Here is a 20,983-nt window from a genome sequence, read left to right as displayed (position 1 = left end):
GGTGGCTGCACCCCCTCACCACCCTCAGGCTTGATCAGCAAACTCCGGAGAGCTGGGGAGTGGTTCTGTTTGCCTCCTTCCCTTTTACCTCTCAAGGGAGCAGAACAAACGTGCCCTCTGAACAGATGTGCCCCAGAAACCACGCCCTTGCCCATGTCCTTCTGAGGCCAAATACCTCTGACCAAAACTGTTCCTCACCATTGCCAAACAGCCTATCCGTAGGGTGGTTGGGAGGGTACGGAGGTGCTAAAGCGTCTTCTGAGGATGAGGAAGTCCAGACTTTATCAGAAGTGCATGGAGTCGCACAAGGGCAACTACATGCAACCAGGAGGAAGGGTTTAAGCAGAGAAATGGCCTAGGTATTGCACACACTTTAATTGAGCACCTGCCAGGTGAGAGCCCCTATAACTGTTCAGTAGCAAGACTCTTACTGAGCTTCACTGTTCTCTACTGAAATGTGGGGCAGATGGTGACAAAACTGTTGGAGCAGGGCTTCGGGAGAGAATGAAGACAAACAATGTAAGACCTTTCATGCAGTTCAAGGGCACATTGTATGTCACAGACCCACATTATACCTCCGATAACTTTTGGCTCTGCAGGCTCGCCCACCGTGGTGTGGCTGTTTATCCAATGAAGGTTGTCAGTCGTAAGGTCAGGAGAAAGAATGTGGATGGATCAGCAAAAATGACACAGAGTTGGCAAGGAACTTGGAGATCATGGAGGCCGAACTCCTCAGGAAGCAAAGGTTCAGAGAGGTTAAGGAATAGCCCAGAGGTTACACAGCTCCTTAGATGTACAGCAGGACTTGAACCCAGGCTGCTTGATTTCTAGTCTTGTGTCTTTCTGCTAAAGTGCATGAGCATCTATGACATTCCTAGAAAAATAATACAAAGTTATTTCCATGGTGGCAAATCATAGTGCCCATCCACCCAGTGTTGACTCAGCCTTGCTTCTGGGTTTAAAATATTTTTAGAAAGCACTAGCATCTAGAAATATGTATAGTGTCTTACATGTTTATGACCCTGTACTAAGGCTAAACCCTAGGATTCTGAAGTCAAGCAAAGACAAGACAGATTTGCTCCTATGGAGTTTAGGCTCCAAGTAACACATACAGAAGGTGAGCAACTAGGGAGTTACTCATCGCATGTGGACATTGAAGACTGTTCTGCTAAAGACAGAAGACCGAAAGAATAGATCACCCACTCCACAGACACAGACTCCTCATGTTCATGATTTTCTGTTGTAAAAATATATTCTCCTATTCTTTTTTTTTTTTTTTCAATTTTTGGGGACTTTGGGGCATGGAGACAGGGAAAGCTATGAGCAAAAGGAATGGCTTTAAGATGTGGCTGGCTGGAGGGGACAGGTGAATAGGCAGTTCCAGGGAGATGACTGTGGGCAGTGGAGGAGGGAATGGGCTAGCAAGATCCAAGTTCCTGACTTTGAAGCACTGGGAAGTGGTGCTAGGGAAGGGTCACAAACCAATGAGTGCTTCCTTGCAGGAATGGTGGTGGTGGTCGGCCCAGGTGGTGGCTTTAGGGCTGGCTCACCTCAGAGCAGAGCAGGACCAAGGTGTGTCCATTGTCCAACTAGTTTCCAGGCTTCCGGGGCTTCATTTCATTCCCAGGATTAGATGGGTGGAGCATTCAGGCTGTGGGCTCATGTCCTCTGGTAGCCTCTTTCTAAGAGGACAGGGAGAGCCATGCTGTTTCCTCCACGGCTCACCACTGCATATGACGAGCAGAGAAGAGGTGTGTGTTTTCCTAAGATGCCCAGGGGAATCCCTTCCTCCATGGCTGCCTGGGGACCACTCTTTTATTTTCTTTTTTCTTTTTTGAGATGGAGTCTCACACTGTCACCCAGGCTGGAGTGCAATGGCACGATCTCGGCTCACTGCAACCTCTGTCTCCCGGGTTCAAATGATTCTCCTGCCTCAGCCTCCAGAGTAACTGGGATTACAGGTGCCTACCACCACGCCTGGCTAATTTTTATATTTTTAATAGAGCCGGGGTTTCAACTTGTTGGCCAGGCTGGTCTTGAACTCCTGACCTTGTGATCTGCCCGCCTTGGCCTCCCGGCCTCCCAAAGTGCTGGGATTATAGGCGTGAGCCACCGCGTCCGGCCAAGACCACCCTTTTCTTAGTGGCCTCTTGTTCACCACCCCTGGTGCTTAAAGCTCTGCTCTTGGCTTCCATGATCCTGTATACTTGCTTGTTTTTCCTCCTACGTCTTCAACCAGTACTTCTTTGTGCTTTTTCTCCCTTGTTTCTCCTCTTAACTGTCAGCAGCTTTACAGATCCACTTTCAATTCTTTCCCTTATTGTCCTGACTGCCATTTTCCTTGAGTTGTGCTCTACCTCCATCCTTTTTGCTGCTAGGTCTAGCTTGACTCTTTCCTGCCTTCTCCCATCATGCATTCACCTTAGAGACCCTCCACCAAGTTGCCCTCACTCCATCTGAACTCAACCAAAGGCAACATTGTCTTCCACTCTCCTTATTTATGTCCGTCCCGTAGATTCACCATTTTCACTGCATAAACATAAGCAATCTAAGTGGCATCTTGGATTTCCCTCTCTTCATCTCCTATGACCAATCAGTCATAAAATCATGTCGATTTTTCCTTTAAAACACATCCAATATTTCTTATTTCCTCTTCCCCTCGACACCCATGGCCCAACTCTTTCTTCAGAACTGGACTACAGTGAGGTGAGTGAGGCATCCACATGGGGTGCCCCCAAACTCAGTAATCAAGTTGAATAATATCTTAATGTAATATCTTTGAAAAATCAGAATTAATGCAAACATTATTATGAAAAAAATCAAAATTTTAAATAAAGTCAAGATCAGTATTACTGATTTTTCCCAATGTGGCTCAGCAAAGCTCTCCTCCTGACCTGTGTCAGCCTCCTCGCCTTCTTGCCCTGCCCTGTCTGTCCTACTCAGCACCATCAAATGAGTCTTTCTTGAAGGCATTGCTTCACCATGTCCCAGGCCTCTAGCATGGCCTCTAGTGGCTCTCTCCTGAGGCCAGATTCCTGCTTGGCCTGCATGGCTCTCTACACTGTGGTCTTACCCTGCCCTCCGGCTTGAAGTTTTACTACTTACCCTCCACTCCTACCATCCTCATTGCCCAAGGGCATACCTTTTCCTCCTGCTTGTCACCTCCAAACAACACCGTCTTTCTCTCTCTATAACACCTCCCTGAATCTTTCTTATTCCTCCTTACATAGCTGTATATGTTCTTTTTTACCTTTGGATGGATTATCTTCCTCTTCTTTTGCTCATGTGGCCCTTCATCAAATGTTTCAGGGCAAATCTTACTCAATCTTAACAGTTATTACCTTAGTCTGCTTCCTGCAGGAAGCCTTCCCTGCTGCTATTCCCCTCCCCCTACACATTGGTACTTAATTCTGTCCCATCCCTCACTGTAATTTCCTGTTTACTTGTCTGTACGCTCCTAAGGCCATGGTTTATTTGTTGCTTATATTACATTCTTAGCATCTAACATAATACTTGTCATAGACTAGGTGCACCAAATATATTAGTCCATGAATGCACATTGCCATAATTCATTAAGTACCTATTATGGAACAGTAACCACCATTCTTGAGCAATTTGTACTTAAGCCATGCAAGCTGCATGTTGTGCACGTAGCAGAAAAGACAATCTGAAATCAAATAGACTTGGGTTAGAATTCTGTCTCCATTGTTTTATTAGCTGCATGGCCTTGGGAAATTTACTTGACCTCTTAAAACCTGTTTGCTCTTCTGTAAAATGAAGATGAAAATACTAATCTTGCAGGATTGTTGTGAGGATTAAAAGTGACCATCTCGGCCGGGCGCGGTGGCTCACGCCTGTAATCCCAGCATTTTGGGAGGCCGAGGCAGGCTGATTACCTGAGGGCAGGAATTCGAGACCAGCCTGGCCAACAGGATAAAACCCCGACTCTACTAAAAATACAAAAATTAGCTGGGCATGGTGGCACATGCCTTTAATCCCAGGTTCTTGGGAGGCTGAGGCAGGAGAATCACTTGATGCCAGGAGGCGGAGGTTGCAGTGAGCCGAGATTGCGCCACTGCACTTCAACCTGGGCAACAAAGTGAGACTCTATCTCAAAAGAAAAAAAAAAAAAGGAGACCATCTCTGATGCAGAGTGCCAGGGGGCACTGAACAGATGTGTGATGTTTGTTAGGTCCTTTCGGCAATCACCTGTGGGATGGGTGAGTGAGAACCTGTCAGATGGTTTTCTTAAACATGTGGCAGAGATGGGGAGTGTTGCTTGCATCTTGTTGACTCATCTCCAGTTGCAGCCAAGAAAGGAAGATGCCAATGAAGAGGCCCAATAAGCAGGGACCTGTTTGGTGTGGTGATCTTTTCAAGCAATGAGGTGGGGGCTGGGCTGCCCAGATTTCTGACCTGTTAATAACCTGCTTTTTTTCTCCTCAACTGAGGCAGTTTCATAATGAATTGGAACTGGTGATGTTGTTCTCTTGAGTAAAAATATCATTTTCATACTCTATGAAATAGTTATTAAGTCAGTTCATGAAATGTCTAATAAACAGGCAGGTGTCTAGATAACAAAACCATGAAAGGCTTCTCAGGAGCATCCCCTGGTAAAGATTCTCGTGGTTAATGGTAGTTTTTGTACATTATTGCCTTCTCATTCTTAAAAATAGGATCCAGTGGCTCCACGGAGGACAGTTACAGAGGAACTATGCCTTAAAAATATACAGAGGGTTTCATTTATAAAATAAAAAACGTGTTGACCAAGAGCCCAGCTGTGGGCAGAAGAGACTCCAGGAAAAAAACCAACCACATAAAATCAAGCTGATTCTGTGCATGGTTGTTACTCAAAGCCTGTGAGTTGACCTACAATATGGCTACCCTGTTATCACCCAGGTGTGGACCCACATTATTTTGTGCCCTACCTACTTACCGATTATCTACCTTCTCTGTCCTCTGCACATTGTTCCCAGGTCACTTTTCTTCATCCCCTCTTTGCCAATGTCACCTTGCCTTCAAGTGGCTTTTCTTTAGCAGACAAAACCCAAACTTTTAAATCCGAATTCAGGTTCTTAGGTTCCCACCACCCTAGCAGGGCCTGTAACAAACTACCTGTCTACCTACTTAAAAGAACCAACTACCTACTACCACTTTACGAGGATCTTTTGTTTTTGGCAAACCATGCATGCTGTCCCAAAAGAAGACAGATGTGGGTAACTTAGAATTCTTCACAGCATTTAGAATCAAAATTTTCTCACTCAAGACCCTATTCCTACAACTCTGATACTTGACATTAAATTTTGAAAAAAGGCTCTAAAGGAATATGAAAAAGATGAGGATGATATTGAGAGCACAAGGCTTGATTTATAAGACTAGGAAGTGTGTTTTGAACTGATTCAGTTTCAAAGTTTTGTTAAAGACCTGCTTATTGTTGGGAATCCAAAAGAAGTATTTAATGTAGCTGCTTCAGGAGCATATAGCATTAAATAACATTCCAGCAAAATGGTTTGAAGCCAAAAGTAAGGAAACATTTTCTTTTCTTTTCTCTCTCTCTCTCTTTTTTTTTTTTTTTTTTTTTTTTTTTTTTTTTTTGGGATGGATATTGCTCTGTCACCCAGGCTGGAGTGCAGTGGCACGGTCTCGATCTCGGCTCACTGCAAACTCCACCTCCCAGGTTCAAGCGATTCTCCTGCCTCAGTCTCCCTAGTAGCTGGGATTACAGGCGCCCACCACCACGCCTGGCTAATTTTTGTATTTTTAGTAGAGACAGGGTTTCACCATGTTGTCCAGGCTGGTCTCGAACTCCTGACCTCAGGTGATTCACCCTCCTCGGCCTCCCGAAGTGCTGGGATGACAGGCGTGAGCCACCGCGCCCGGCCAGGAAACATTTTCTGACTGATGCTCAGTAGTGTATTCTTGCTGATGGTTCCCCTGTCTCTTGGCCCCACACACATATAGGTGGCAAATCTGCCATTGTACATTTTCACAGTGCTCATCAAGGCCCCTGGCAACAGCAGGCTAAGGATGTTAGCCTTCGATGCAACACAACTGGTGACATTTCCACTGAGTCCCACTTACATCCTCAGTACCTTTAATGCAGTTGGAAGATAAACAGCCCCAAAGTAAACTTCATCCAGCTCTAATTTGAATGATTTTATGAATATTATAGAACACCAGGTCCAATATCATGTGCATGGAACCTTCTTCTGCCTTTTGGGTTCATTGTCATTTTTCTCTGTGTCAATATATTCTCTTCTGTTATTTTTACTGATCTTAAGTGAATGGGCCATTGCAAATTGGGAAAGGGAGCAGATAGTGGGCAACTGAATCTAACATAGTAGTACTGAATTCTTGTATGCTCAGAAGAAGAGAAGACGTAAGTTCTCCAGTTGGAGAATCTTTCTGGGAGTTGCAAGCTAGTCTTCAGGGGTGAGAATACCATCTTATGAGCTACCTTTATTGAGACCTTAATGTCAATAGATTTAACCATATTAAATTCTAGCAGAGTTTGGTTTCCTTAGTTGGGGTTTTTATGAAGGTGCAGGGACCCAAGAGAGTAATAATAAAAAAGAAAAAAAGAAAGTTGAGGATGGGCCAGTGTCGATTAGAATCCTGGTCTCAGGAAATCTTCTTTCTGTGAATTTGCTACTTTTCCTTTTGTGTCTTAGTTTTTAACCTATGTGGCCATTTCCAGGAATGTTAAGGATCTCTTAAATTAAAATAATGCCTAACTTATATTGAAGACCAGGCCTCACATACTTATCACATGCATTTCATACAATATATAGTTTTATTAAATGCAATTTTATATTTTAATTTGCTTTATATACAATTTTCTCATACATTATTTCATTCAATCGTCCTACTTCATGAAGTAAGTATTATTACTTTCACTTTATTTTTAGAGGTTGGGTCTTGCTATGTTGCCCTGACTGAGCCTCAAACTCTTGGGCTCAAGTGATCCTCTTGCCTTAGCCTCCCGAGTAGCTAGAGCTATATGTACATGTTTCCAGTTTCTATTATTTTCATTTTACAATTGCATGAACTAAGGTTTGGATTAAGGAACAGGCCCAGGCTCCATGTTGGTAAGTGATAGAGCTGGGATTTGAATTATGTATACCTGGCTTCAAAGCCTAGGGTTTTAAACACAGCAAAACATGACCTTCCACACAGCACATCTGTCTTCCTTAGAGAGTACTATGTAGATTGGGATTGTATATTTTATGGAGTTCATAAAATTACTAAGAGTGTGGCACAAGTCTTCGAAAATTGGGGCAAATGGACAATTTCTGCCTAGCAACCAATGTATTTAAAGCCTATACACACTGATTAACCAAAAAATGAGGTGAATTTTATTACATAGGTCCATTTTTTTTTCCTTTGGCATGTATCATTTACTTGTTGTATGATTGTGGAGTAAGCCTTGTAAGAATATCCTTTCATGACGTTTTTACAGAGTAAGGTACCATTAAAAATAAGCCAGGAGTGTATAAATTCAAGATGGTCAGCATTCGGCCCTGCTGTTAACCATGGGTTCTTATTTGAAGGCCAGAAAAGGTAGTCCTTAAACACTTGAAGAAATGGAGGAAGATAAATTCATACATAGTCTGAGTCAGAAATTCTTCTCGTTCCCTGCGTCTTTATGTGGGGGGATAAGGGAAGAAAACAAGAGTTGGCTCTGTTCTGTCATCATCTATAGATGATTCTTACTTACATGTGATTGGATAATATGAAGTCATAGTTCTTTAGGGCTAAACAACAGAGATTTTCCTCCTAATATATTTTCTTCTATTTTTTCTTGCACAGAGGCAAGGACCTAGCAACACTTATGAAGATCCTCGAATGAACTGTGGTTTCCAGTCCAATTATCACCAGCAAAGACCTTGCTACCCCTTTTGGGATGAGATGGCAACTCAGGAAGTTCCTACTGGTCTTGAACACTGTGTCTCAGGTAGGAACATAAACAAAAGCTGGGAATGAGGATAGAGTTGAAGGACAATGGAAATGTGATGAGGGCTGCATTCTTTCAAATAACAGCTGCCATGGCTTATGCGGGTACAGATGCTATTGTTCTTGAATGGAAAGTCCCGGGCCTTCTCCATAAATTTTGGGTTACTTTATTCCCCGACAGGAAGTCTAAACTCTAGGAATGGGCCCAAGAAAGGTTGCTTTAGGTCTTCACCTTGCAAATAGTTTTGCCTATCCTGCATTTCCTGACACCCGTTTTGGCTGTTGTCAGAGAGCCTAGAAGTTTTGCAGTCACAGAGTCTGAGCTGGATAAACAGAGGTGTGTGAATTGCTCGGCCTTCTTAGAGAACATGCTTTCTTTCGATGATCATCTGTTTCCATTGTTCCTGGCCTCTCTGTCCATGCCCACCTGGATCCCAATTCTTTTTCCTCTGTCTCTCTCTCCCTTCTCTCCTTCCACTTGCTGGTGGCAGTGCTGCCCTCTGGTGAGTGGGAGTCTCCTCCAGAGAACTCTCAAATCAATGGATCTGCATTCCCAGGGACCTCAGGAATCTGAAGTCCTCATCTCCATGCTGTTTTCAGGAGACACTCTGTTTCTCACAAATTCCACTAGTTCTTGGTTTACCAGCTAGTGTTTTTTTTTTGTTTGTTTTGTTTTGTTTTTAAACAAAAACCATTAAATTTGAATTTGGGAATTTTGAAATGATCAATTCAGATATTAAGTTCACTTTCACATGAGACCATGTTATGATAACATATTTGAATACCAAATAGCTAGTCAAAATCTGTGTTTTCTCCCAGGATGAATTCTTAGCATAAAAATGTCATTACTCTTACATGTTGGGAAAATGTAATTCTGGGGAAAGACCTGGGCAGGGCATGGCAGGGGGAGTCACTAACTTGAAGGCTACTTTTTGGTTCAGTGTTATTTTACCCCACAACATTCTTTGGTCAATTACTTAAATAACAGTGGAGAAGTAAAATAAATGTTTGCTTTGTTGCCCATGCTTTATTGCTCATCAGGAATAAACAGACGCAGGGCAAGATGCTGTGGCACTCCATGGGCTGTGTGTATGGTGGGTGAGGAGGCATGGGGAGTAGCTTTCCATTTGCCTGGTTTCTCTCCAGGGCAGAATGAAATAGATTCCTGTGTCCCATGTTCCCTTGACTCAATAGCCATTGATCTTTGAGGTATTCTTTGGCACTGTCCTGGATTGTAGACATAATAATATTTATGCTGTCACTTTCTGCTTGGTATCTCAGTTCTTCTAAGCATAAATACAAATGTCTCAGCTACCTATCCATTTCACAAGGGAGCCAGGAGGATTTTGTACCTGCTCACACGTCAGACTTAAGGACTAAAAATTTGAGGACATGAGAAAAGTGATCCTTTAAAATTCTAAACAAAATAGGTTTTGTTTGTATAAGCAAAAGGTCAAAATGGCTGTATTTATATTTGTATAATTCTTGAATCCTATTAATGCCACAAGGCTTAAGTCTTATATCTCCCAATGCAACTGAGATTAAAGCTGCCTTGCTTTAACACTTGCAGCTCTCGATGGTCTCTGCTTGCTACAAGTTACATCTTATTAACATCTGAGGCCTTCTCCATTTGCTCATAGCCTGAAGATCAGAATGTCTCTTCTTCATAGCAAAGAGACATGGCCTTCCTTTTCCTTAAACTGAAGTACATAAACTCCCAAGTGGAGATGATTTTTCATGCTGCTCTTTGTCAAGTTTCTCAAAGGTAAAGATGTTTTTATTTCATGGCCTATGAGACAGTGTCTGGGAAGCATATGAAGAACAGCTTTAAAATGCAAGGACTTATAGCAGGGTAATATCATCTTCTTCTCATAGTTTATAGTTGCAAGAAGGAAGCTGGGGTCACCCCAGCTTTTGGTAGGTTGAGAAGATTGGGGCATATAATAACCATTCCTAGAATGACCTGGGTTGCCATCAACTGCAGCTCAGAGATGGTACACAGCTTCCATCGGGGTGTGGCCTCTACCAGTTGGGGGCAATCTCTTCACAAATGTGATGGTTGTAGTTCCCACTGTCCTATACTCCCTCTGATGGAAATGTTTGGCAAGAACCCTGAGCCTTTCTAGCCCCTCCTTTAACTTTTGAGCTTCCCAGACGAAGGAGTTGGAGGGATTATTTCTGGGCTGTGGTCCAGCTCTCCTCAGCGATGGGTGTTGTTTGGACGGGGATTGTGGGGTTATAGGGAAGGGAGATGAAGACATAGACCAACCAGTGATTTCTCCAGCTGTGGTACATTTCCTTGGAGATGTGTTGAATATAAAGAAAGAGAAAAAATACTCGACATTTTTTTCATCTTCTTTTATCCTATTTATAACTTCAGTTTCCTTCCCGTCCTCCGTCTCATGGCTACTGCCCACCACTGCTCCCCCTTCACGTTCATGCTCTCAGAAGGGATGAATGAACTTCTTTTCCAAGGACTACACATCTGTCAGTGCAGAGAACACTGACAGGAGGGGCCATCAAGGAATGAGCAAGCCTTTTCAGAATGTTGTTCCTATTCACGAAGGGGCAGAGGCTGAGGAGGAGGAGGAGGAGGGTGGCGGGAGTGTGGAGGGAAGGGGAAGAGAGAATCAAGCAGAGAGAAAGTATGAATGAGGGAAAGACTTATCAGGTGAGTGGGAGAGAATACTAAAGCGCCAAGGTCTGTCGGGAATCGATTGGACAAAATAGATGATAAAGCGGGTATGGTGGAAGAAAGAAGAGATGTGTGAAAATGGACAGAAAATAAAGGTGGATATTAGTAGCATGGTAGGGAATAATGGGAAAGGAAGATGAAAGATGAATGGGAAAGGGAAAAAAAGTGGGGAGCCCAGAAAAAGACAAGGCAAGAACAGGAGGGGAAGATAACATGAAAGAGAAAAATAGATGAATCTGAGGACATTAGCTATACAGCTAAAAAGGGAAGCCACATTTGCATGCAATTGCCTGTGCAGCTGTACATTTCTTCACAACAATCTTGTAGTCATCATTTTCTTTCATTTCTACCTCCTCCTACCGTCCGCCTCTTCCCCCTCCTCCCTATCAGCCTGGAGCCATTAGCGAGAGCCAATGGGGCTGAGTGCTGGTGTTCTGCATGAATGAATGGGCCCTTTCTGTCTCAGCTTCTCGTCATCCTTCTGTTAGGGAACCTTGTGAATCAATGGAGCCTCTTACACAAGACACGGCTGAAATGTCTGTTGCTGTTTATAGTCTGACTGGAGTGGAGCCACTGACCCTGCCTCCTCTCTGCTCCCTTCCTCTATTCTGTCCCTCAACCTCAGCCCTTTCTCTCCAACCACCATAACAAGAATCATTTTTACGTTTCAGTTTCTTGCTCCTGTCTCTAAGAGCTCACTGACGTTTTACCGTCATTAACTGTCATGACTGGTTCCTACCCACAGTCCTGTTGGATACACAGGGTAACGGTAGCGAGCCTCAGAGTGGTGCCTAGACCTAGCTGAAGTCAGACACTGCCTGTTTTCCAAAACCGACATCAGAGACCCAGCTGAGCACACAGGACACAAGACCTCGTCCATCCCATCAATGCCAGCGGTCCATATTTGATTTCAACTTCACCCTTATGATGCTCATGAATGGTCATAGTTCATATCAGAAAATACGATGCTTACTTAGCACTCTTCCAAAGTGTTATAGTATCAAATTATTTTTCATTTCAAGGATGGATTTGTCTGAAATCAGCCAAACTTATGGATGTGATGTTGTGAGCAAAGTACACTTTTGCAAAATACTTGCTTAGAGCTGGGAAGCAGCCTGGAGCTAGAGAACATAGGAAACACAACTTACCTTCATGAGGAGGAACCTATAGTCTTATTACCATGGTCTTTGATTGATTTGAGAAACAAGACAATACTTTTTCTTGTAGAATGCAGTTTGCTATGTCTTTGGTCACTGAACACAGTAAAACCTTCACTCAACCACATTCACAGCCTATCTGCCACTTCCCATTCTTCATGAGAAAGGACATCTATTTAGTGTAGTAGGAAAGAACCCAGACGCTGGACCCAGGTTGCTTGTGTTTGCATCAGCTCTTCCGTTATAACTGTGTGACCTTAGACAACTTAATCTTGTAACCCAGTTTCCGGATCTATACCAATGATTCTCCAAGCATGGTCCCCAGACCAGCAGCATCACTATCATCTGAGAACTTGTTAGAAATGCAAAATCTCGAGCCGTACCCCAGACTTATCGAAGCAGAAACTCCCAGGGTACATGAGAATCACTTTAGGGTTTGTTAAGACACTGGTTATGGAGTTCTACCCCCAGGGTTTCTGATTCAGTGATTCTAGGCTAAGGCTCAAAAATTTGCATTTCTAACAAGTTCTCAGGTGCTGCTGATGCTGCTGGTCTAGAGATCACACTTTGAGAACCACTAAGTTAGTATGTGTAAAGCATAAAACAGTGCCGTCACTTAGCAAGCCTGATATGAATATTTGCTATTATGACTCATTGACCCAAAGTGCATTTTGGGAGTCCAAACTGGGTTTCATTGAGTCAGAGAGTGACCCACTGATTGGTTGAACACGTTTGGTGACCAGTGCCATGCCCGGGATACTGAGAAAATACATGGAAAAGGGGAAGCCTCAGTTCTCCTTTAAAACAACTTCTATGCAAGTGTGTGTGTGGGTGTACATTTACATGCTAGAGCAAATGGTTTCCATGTGAAATATTACACTTATTTATGACATAAAGTTTGGCAGTATTAATGTGTGGCTTTGGATCTCACTAAAATCTCTAAAACAAATTTACTAACAAAATGGTGGAACTAAAGAATGTCTTTCCCAAATAAACTTTGGAAGTTCAAGTGGGAGATACGCTGAGATTCCGAGTTCATAGTCCCTCCTGGGGCTTTCTCATATGGCCTAGCGGCTGGGAGAGATCAAACCTGGGCCAGTGTTTGGAAAGGGCTATCCACAACCAGGTGGGATGTCTCAGCAGGAAGCACAGATGCCTCCAATTTGGCTTTTAAGTGTTGAGAGCGCTGAGGGAGTGCCAGAGAGACTTGTTAAATGGAGACTCACCTTGCTCTGAAATGTTTATTCTTATGGCAGGTCTGTGGTTTTACAGAATGGTGTTTCAGACTATCATCTGCTGCACCCCTCTCTTCTTTCCTCATTCAGGGTGTGCTTTTCTTTTCTAAAGGGTGTGTGTCAGGTTCTTTGTTCTTCAGAACAGAACGGTCCTGAGAGTGTGTGTGCTTTAGGGATGTTGTAACATTGGACGATTACAATATTGGACTAATGCTGTCCCTGAGAAAAGGCTGGACGGTTCTTCTTAGAGAAGACTTACAGGGAGTCCAGGCAAAGTGAATTAGAAACACAACTGGGCCACTCCAGTCTCTTTATTTTATTTTATTCTTTCAATTTTCTAGCTCAGTGAGGAACTGTCTATGCTAATGCCCAACTATTTTCTAGGACAAGACTAGGGAATTAAACTCCTGTCTTTAAATAAAGTCCAAACATTAAGGGAGATGGGGAAACATGGACCTTTTTGGATTCTGCCTGGATGGCTGTGCTGTTTGGGAGGAGCAAGCTGTAACCCTACCTGAGGTTCCAGCCTTTCACAGAAGGCCGAGGTTGGGGCCTAGCTGCCCTGACAAGCTACTCCCAGGGGAGAGTACTGAGAGAAGCCTGATGCAGGAACAGCCTTGCCATATATCCCCATCCCATCTCTGAGAGGGCCAGGGAAAGAGGAAGGAAAGCAAGGCCAGCCTAGCCCAAGCAGTCCGCTAGGGAGAGTCCACATGCCTAATATCTCCCGCACACTCGCTCTGTCAGTTTGCTCATCTGATACTGAGATTCTGCAAATGCCTGACCCTATTCTCCATAAGTGGAGGGCATGCCTCTGATCAGCTGTGGACTGAAGTTGCTCCTGCTTCCTACATGGCCTCTTTCTTTTTCCTCCCACCTCCTGCTGCCTTGGTAGCTTTTGAGCTGGTACTATTTCATATTCAGATTACAAGGTCTTTTGGTATACATTTTGAGTATAATTGAAGAGTGTTAAGTCTAAGCAGAGGGTTTGGCCTGGTGTTGTGGGAAGAGCCAGCCTATGCCTCAAGACCCCAGCAGCACATCCCGGTACAGGCCTTCGGCCTTGGCTAAGTCCACTGAGCTTCCCAACCCTCACCTTTCACAGGTGAAATACACTCTTTCCAAAGAGTTCTTGTGTCCACTGCATGAGGGTAGTATAGTTAAAAGGTCGTGGCCTATCGCAGGGGACCAATAAATAAACGCTGCTTTTCTTCTTTTTCCTTTCGCCATGGTGTGAGTGTGGATTTAGGTGAATCGAAGAAACCAGATGCCCACTCACATCTGAGTCCTGCCCACTCTTATCTTGCTCAAGGCTAATGTGCTAGCATCTGCCCACTGTGCCTCATTTCACCAGCCAAAGGAGAGGCCAGCCTGGTGAGGGCCAGAAAGAGCTGCACACCCAGGTTAGAGACCAGAGACCCCATGCTCTCAGGAGTGACCCCAACAGCCCCGAGGAAGGAGGGCTTGGAAAGGCCTTTACAAATGTAAATCACCCCTTTAGGTCCCCGGGAAGGAAGGAAACCAAGACAGACAAACCGAAGCCTCTGGGCTGGGTTCGTGGAGTGACAGTGGAAAGGCAAGCCTTCCGCCGGCCCGCCCTCGAACTCGCAGCTTCTCGAACATCCTAGGAAGTAACAGCATTGCGCTGGGACTCCCAGGGGGCTGCGGAGAGAAAAAACGTTCTCTCAACTTTTTCAAACCACAAATATTTGGTCCGAGTTGGGAAAAGGTCCCTGGGGCACCGGGTTCTTATGCGATTCAAGCAGTTTGACCCCTCTCCTGGAACTCCTCGCACGGGGGTGGGACGGTGGACGCCGCCGGCTGGCGTCAGGCCCCGCTCGGCTCCGGCCGCGGCACTGGGTGAATGGACATCTTCGGGTGGGCCGATGAGGTGGGAGCCGGAGCCCAGGAGAGGGGCGAGGGGCGAGGGGCGAGGGGCGAGGGGCGCGTGAGAGTGGAGGGTGGGGGCGGGCTGCGCCGCAGGGACAGCCTGTAGTGCTGTGTCTGGCCGCCTAGAGACACGGGCTCTCTCTCCAGATGTTCACTGTGTTTATAGCTGCCGAGGCAGGAGACCCAGCTCCCTCATTAATAAGTTGCTTTCTTGCACTGCAGCCAGGGGTCTCAGCCCGGAGCCTGCAGCTGGAGGAGGCGGCCCGCTCCCCTCCCCCAGCCTCCCGGTCCCTAACCCCACCCCGCCTTCCTCCCCTGCAATCCTCCCAAAATACACGAGCACACAAAAAGAAAAACACCAGCAGATTTTTTATTTCAGAGAGTAAACACTTGGGCCATGGGGGTCTGGAGGTTATGGGAAAAGAGGAAACCATCAGGCTAATCAGGCAGCACACACTTCCCCTGCTGAAATAAAACAGAAATCATTGCTCCGCAGGGCGGGAGGGTTAACCCCGGCGCTGCCAGCAACGCGGGCGCAGGCGAAGCCGGCCCGGAGCTGGGGCGTCCCGGGACGAGCTTTCCACTCCCAGGAGAGGAGGGAGGAGAGGACGGGCGTGGGCTGCCTCGGCCCGAACCTCGCCCTTCGGCCTGTGGCAGCGCCTGGGCCCCAAGCGGGGCTTAAGAAATAGACGGTTGGAACAGAAGAGATTCTGGGCTTAGATTTAGTTTTGCAAGAGGTTACAGGGAGTTCCAGATAGGTTGGGGACATAGAGAGATAGGTAAGAGTGTGTGTCGTTACCGTTTAACAAAGGATCAAGAGAGCTGGGTAGGGCTGTTTGGGGCACAGGTTTCAGCTCTGCCACCCACCAGCTGTGCAACCCTGGACGAATCACTGAACCCTCTGAGCCTCAGTTTCCTCATTTGTAATATAATAGTGCCCACCTCACAGAATTACTGTGAAGGAAGAAATTAAAAAAAAAAAAACGTATTGAATGTGGAAATGGCAAAGCACCAGGCATGGCGTGGAGAAGGCTCTTAACTCTGATTTCGTAGGTTACCTTTTCATACATTACTGTAATTGCCCGGGGTTCCCCTCCCTCCTTTTCTTCCTTCGTCTCTCACTCCCCCACTTCTTTTTCTCTCTCTTCTTTTTCCTTTCCTTCCCTTCCCTTCCCTTCCCTTTCCTTTCCTTTCCTTTCCTTCCCTTTCCTTTCCTTCCTCGCTCTTTCTTTTTTTCTTTCTCTCTTTTTTTCCCTATTGAATGCCTCCAGGTTCCATCTTCACTGTCTTGTTCCCTGACTGCTGTCTGAAGAGCATAAATAGCTCATGGGACAGAGGTCATCAGTCAAACATGAAATGTAGTTGCACTCTGAGAAAAATCACCTTCCCACTGAAGCATGGGGCAACCTTGGCTGTCCCCAAAGCTGCCAGTGTGAGTGGCCCCTCAGCTTTCAGTCCAGACCCTGCCCCACATCTTGATCTAGTCAGTTGGCCACACCCTCCCCATCATCCCTATTTTTTAAAAATAGGGATACGCTTCTCCCACTCCATTCCTGGACATCCTAGTTAGATTCCTCATGACCTTTGAAGAATTGTTTGCCTCTTTCAAACTTTCTTGCTATTTAAGAAAACAGGACTTTGGGATCTCTGTTAGGTGGGATTAAAAAAAAAAACCAAAAAAACAAAGCCACCAATTTTCAAAGTTGTGTCATCAGTCTTTTCCATACCTCCTGAGACTTGCTGAAGTAGTGCCTGAGAGGCAGAAATACCAGTGATTTAAGTAGCTACAGAGTTCCAGTTGCCTTTGCCATTTTTACTGGCTATCTTACATACCTCATACATTTTTAAAACATCAATCTTGACAACTTTCTGCCATGTCTTAGACCTGCTGTTTCTCATGGAGCAGGGGTTCTTGCCCAGGAGAGTTTCAGGAAAGTGTGATCCTGCTGAAATTTTGTGCAGAAATTTTTCTAAGGATCTGTAGCTTTCCTCTGATTCTCAAAGTTGTCTGAGACTCCCAAAGAGGTTAAAAACTACTGTTCCAAGGGAAAGGTACATTTGTACCTTCCTGCGGCACTTAGCACATTGTACTTCTAGAGTACGCAGTGCACATTTTGTTGAACTGGGATGAATTCTCTGGTATAAACTTCCTTCCTATAAATCCCTTCTCCCTGCTCTGGTCAGTCCCAAGGGAGTGTATTTAAATCTGGAAGTTGTTTCCATTCCATTGTCTCTGAGACAGAAGCATTGCAGCCTTGCCCAAAGTCTAGCCAGATCTCTCCTTTTTCTTTAACATATTTCTTTATTTCATGCTCCTCAGGATGATCTCTGCAAACACCCCAGGAAAACTGTGGACCTGGGACCTCCCTAAAGTGAGCTGGAGGTAGGGATGGGGAGCTTCAGTCTGTGTCAAAGCACCACAGAAAAGTCACACTATGATCTGCGTCTCATGGCCTTTCTAGTGCACAGTAGATTTTCCCCAGCATCCTTATGTCATATAGGGAAGAAAAGATGTAGAAATAGTGCCCCTAAAGGGGATAGGGGTGCAGAAATTCAGAGCTAACACCTTCCCCCCTGCAAACAATGTACACTTGGCTCTTCGTATCCATGGGTTCTGCATTCATGGATTCAACCAACTTCAGAGCAAAAAAAAAATTTTTTTTAAAGAATATTTGCATCCGTACTGAACATGTACTGACTTTTTCTTGTCATTATTCCCTAAACAATACAGTATAACAACTATTTACATATCATTCACATTGTATTAAGTATTATAAGTAAATTTGAGATGACTTAAAGTGTATGGGAGGACGTGCATAGGTTATTTGCAAATACTACACCATTTTATATCAGGGACTTGAGCGTATATGAATTTTGGTATCTTAGGCAAGGGGTTTTCCTGGAACCAATCCCTCATGGCCAAGAGACTGTATACAGGAATGACTATGGCAGAAAAACTCCTGGATGCTACAGACTCTTTCAGTGCACTGCCTCTGAACCAAGGTCATTCTTTTGGAGTCTTAGCCCTCATTTCTGATCATTAGCTTCTGTTGGAACCATTGACTGTTAACATCTACTGCTACAAACTCACTTAGACAAGAGGAGGCCATTTTCAGACTTCTCCAGTCTAGACAGATTACCCAACCCAAGTCAACTACTTTGAACTTCCCAGCAATGTCTTAGCATTTTCATCTTTGGTCAATATATCAGGTGGATATTCTTAGCTGAGCAGGGCTTAGAGCTTGCGTCCTGGTGAATGTTCACTGGTTGAATTTTGGGTTTTATAATGAAAGTGGCTAGCTCCTTGAGACAGAAATGCCTGTGGGCTGTTCCTGGAGAGTTGAATACAGATTAGAAATAACAGAAAGTTGTTGTGCTCACTTCAACCATACCTGAAATATTTGGACATCTCATCAATACTTTGGGCTTTAAAAACTCTGAATTTAAAGTTTCTGAACAATAAAACCAACCACCATGATGCCACATTTTCTTGAATTGTAATCTTTTGTTGTGTTTTTAACATGGTTTAGATCCCTCGGAACTTCCTGTTAGATATCTGTGCATATTTCTATGTTGCTTCTTAACTGATCAATTGTAAATTAAAATAGAGATGAAAAATAGTTCATAGCCCATTCTTTTCTAATTCTAGTAATCTTATTCCAGAAAGTCCAAAAGAAGGCCTGTTCTTCTAGAGCTGCTTGAGAGGTACAGTGGTTACCATTCATTAAATGCCTTCTGTATGCCGAGGATTGCACATATGTGGTCTTTTGCTTTTACAATATTCCTGTGAGGGTGATACTATTCCCATTTTACAGATGAGATAAATAAGACTCAGAGAGGTCAACTTACCTCCCCAAAGAAGCCTAACTAATTCTGGGAGGCAGGTTGGTAATTAAATGTAAATATTCCTCCAAAGTGCATGTTCTTAACCACCATACACATTTTGCCTGCCCAAACATTTGTTCACATCTTCATTGCTGTGACAATTGCCCACCTCCGGGATAAGAATCGATAAACTTTCCCAGCTTTCCCACAAAGCAGAGACCCATGAAAATTCCACAGGGATGTAAAAGGGAAAACAAGACACTGTTACCTGATTTCTTTTATATCTTCTCTGTGGTTTCTTGGAGTCCCATATTGGTCATTTAAGGGCACAAGGAAGCCTGATAATTTGCAAAGCTCCTCCAGAGAATGGTTTTTCCTTTGTTGGGCATTCAGTTAGGGTCTAGAGGGTTTGCTTACCTCTTCACCTAAGCATCATACTCCCTTTGTCCCCTTACACTGCCCCCCCCACCCCCAACCAGCCAGCTCCGTGAGCAGACAGAGTCACTGAGCAAGACTAAACCCTAAGAAGTTTCTGAAAGGTTATACCCTTGAAGCTACCCACAGTGTACACAGCACGTGCTGAAGTTTACACAGACTTCCCAGACCTCTGAATAGAGAGACTAATTGTGGGGAAGCTGCTTTTCAGCACACAGGATGGGCTGTTCCCTGTGGGTTTTACTATCAAAAGGCTTTTAAAAGTGCAGTGTAGCCATTGTTGAATATTTCACAATGAATTAAATACCATTTCTCTCCTCGCAGCTGTTCCGTGTGAGTGAGTGTAGAGTGCATTTTTTTTTTCCTTTTCCTGGCAGAAGACGTCTGCTGTATAAACCTAAGCACTGGGGTAATGAGATTATTTGTGTGCGAATTCTTTAGGAAAAGCATTTCTTTATTTTAAACTCAATGTGATGCAGAGCTGCTGCTCTGGAGACGGGGAGAGGGAGAGCCTTGGAAAAGAATGGAATTGCAATGTCTTTGAGCAGAACTGGGAGAAGGCAGGGGTGAGGGGCTCAGGGATTAGGCTTGTAGCTTCAGTACATTTATCCACATTTCCCTACATTTCCCTAGGGCTGCCTGCATCTCTCAGCCCTACTAACTGGGCTACAGAAGAGGGAAATTCCATATATATATATATATATATATATATATTAGTAAACAATTAATCACTTTTTCATCTGCCCTTTCAAAATTCCTTTCTGATCTCACAGGTTTTTAAAGCAGTTGAAGAAACAGTTTGCTCTATGCCTATTTTTATCTCAAAGAGCTTTTAATATAATTTAAATTATAAAGTATACAAGGAACTGACTTTCTTATGACATTTAGGGCAGTTTCCATAATTTGGACATACTCAGCTTTAATAGTACCATACCATTAATTGCTAGAACATGTATCCACACATCTCTTGCTTGACTTTTCCTCTTCAGAGTTTTCATTTATCTTTCATAGACATTGAGCTTCAGGTGAGCAGTGAGTTGGAATTAAGTATAAAATTAATTAAGATTAAATACAAGTGTAGACTTAACTCTTCCTAAAATGTCATCAGGGAGTCAACAGCTGTTTTTTAGATCCACTGAAGACTAAGAACACAATGAGATTAAATGGAAAAACAGGGATTTAGATTAGTGAGGGGAAAATATGACTCTGAAATCCATTATTAGAGTTTATAAATTACCTCTCCTCTCAAATATCTTTCAGGATATTTCAGAAGGAGTATGAGTAATTTTTTTATTATTATCCTTCTGGTTCGATCACGTAAGATAAAATTTTCACAACCTTTTAAGGGAACTTAAGGAACTTAAGGGAATGCTTTAGGAAATTATTGAGTGGGAAAGAGCAGGCCAGATGTGAAAGGAGAGACGTTGAGTGTGAGAGTAATCTTTTAATTCTGCTGCAGTGAGAGAGACAAAAAGGAGGCATGAGCTGGGCATGCTGATATGAAAACTCAACCAGTAGATTTTTGGGGCTAAGGAGGGAAGGTCTGAAATGTACTTCTGCACCTCCCCCATAGTTACTGGTCACTTACTTTTCTCATTTTCCAAACTTCCCAATGTCTATGTCAGAATGGGCAGGTAGAGAGTGATCATTTTTCCCTGTGTTTAACAGAAGGGAAAGTTCTGCTGCAAAGATGGGGGAGAGAATCTATGCTGTTCTGGTAGCTTTGAAATGCATAATCTTTTCGCTCTTCCTGGCTATGAACTAGTACTTTTCTATGTGCATATATATCACAT

At 44.0% G+C, this 20,983-nt stretch overlaps 1 protein-coding gene across 5 annotated transcripts in view, besides 6 other annotated features; it reads left to right on the top strand.

Annotated features, from left to right (window-relative positions):
- Nucleotides 1-20,983, top strand: part of ETS1 (ETS proto-oncogene 1, transcription factor) — a 128,794-nt gene that overhangs the window by 23,314 nt on the left and 84,497 nt on the right. For all 5 annotated transcript variants that reach the window (XM_017017314.2, XM_017017315.3, NM_001143820.2 and 2 more), the window contains one exon: nt 7,810-7,954. In XM_017017314.2, the coding sequence (XP_016872803.1) occupies nt 7,810-7,954 (145 nt within the window). The remainder of the gene's footprint in view (nt 1-7,809; nt 7,955-20,983) is intronic.
- Nucleotides 10,840-11,340: a transcriptional cis regulatory region, noted in NCBI's record as "chr11:128422800-128423300 region (GRCh37/hg19 assembly coordinates) targeted for CRISPR interference". NCBI's record gives its function as "positively regulates ETS1 gene expression in GM12878 lymphoblastoid cells {active_cell/tissue: GM12878}" and the evidence as "EXISTENCE:mutant phenotype evidence [ECO:0000015][PMID:33828297]".
- Nucleotides 10,952-11,061: an enhancer, noted in NCBI's record as "active region_5727". NCBI's record gives its function as "activates an Ori minimal core promoter by ATAC-STARR-seq in GM12878 lymphoblastoid cells {active_cell/tissue: GM12878}" and the evidence as "EXISTENCE:reporter gene assay evidence [ECO:0000049][PMID:35858748]".
- Nucleotides 11,072-11,331: an enhancer, noted in NCBI's record as "active region_5726". NCBI's record gives its function as "activates an Ori minimal core promoter by ATAC-STARR-seq in GM12878 lymphoblastoid cells {active_cell/tissue: GM12878}" and the evidence as "EXISTENCE:reporter gene assay evidence [ECO:0000049][PMID:35858748]".
- Nucleotides 11,542-11,631: an enhancer, noted in NCBI's record as "active region_5725". NCBI's record gives its function as "activates an Ori minimal core promoter by ATAC-STARR-seq in GM12878 lymphoblastoid cells {active_cell/tissue: GM12878}" and the evidence as "EXISTENCE:reporter gene assay evidence [ECO:0000049][PMID:35858748]".
- Nucleotides 11,744-11,813: an enhancer, noted in NCBI's record as "active region_5724". NCBI's record gives its function as "activates an Ori minimal core promoter by ATAC-STARR-seq in GM12878 lymphoblastoid cells {active_cell/tissue: GM12878}" and the evidence as "EXISTENCE:reporter gene assay evidence [ECO:0000049][PMID:35858748]".
- Nucleotides 12,695-13,236: an enhancer, noted in NCBI's record as "NANOG hESC enhancer chr11:128420904-128421445 (GRCh37/hg19 assembly coordinates)". NCBI's record gives its function as "activates a minimal SCP1, AML or CMV promoter by ChIP-STARR-seq in naive H9 embryonic stem cells {active_cell/tissue: H9 hESC(naive)}" and the evidence as "EXISTENCE:reporter gene assay evidence [ECO:0000049][PMID:30033119]".

The sequence above is a fragment of the Homo sapiens genome, chromosome 11 (genome assembly GCF_000001405.40).
Source record: "Homo sapiens chromosome 11, GRCh38.p14 Primary Assembly".
NCBI lineage: Eukaryota > Metazoa > Chordata > Mammalia > Primates > Hominidae > Homo > Homo sapiens.
Note: the sequence above shows the minus strand (reverse complement) of the source record. Positions and strands in the feature narration are given on the sequence as shown.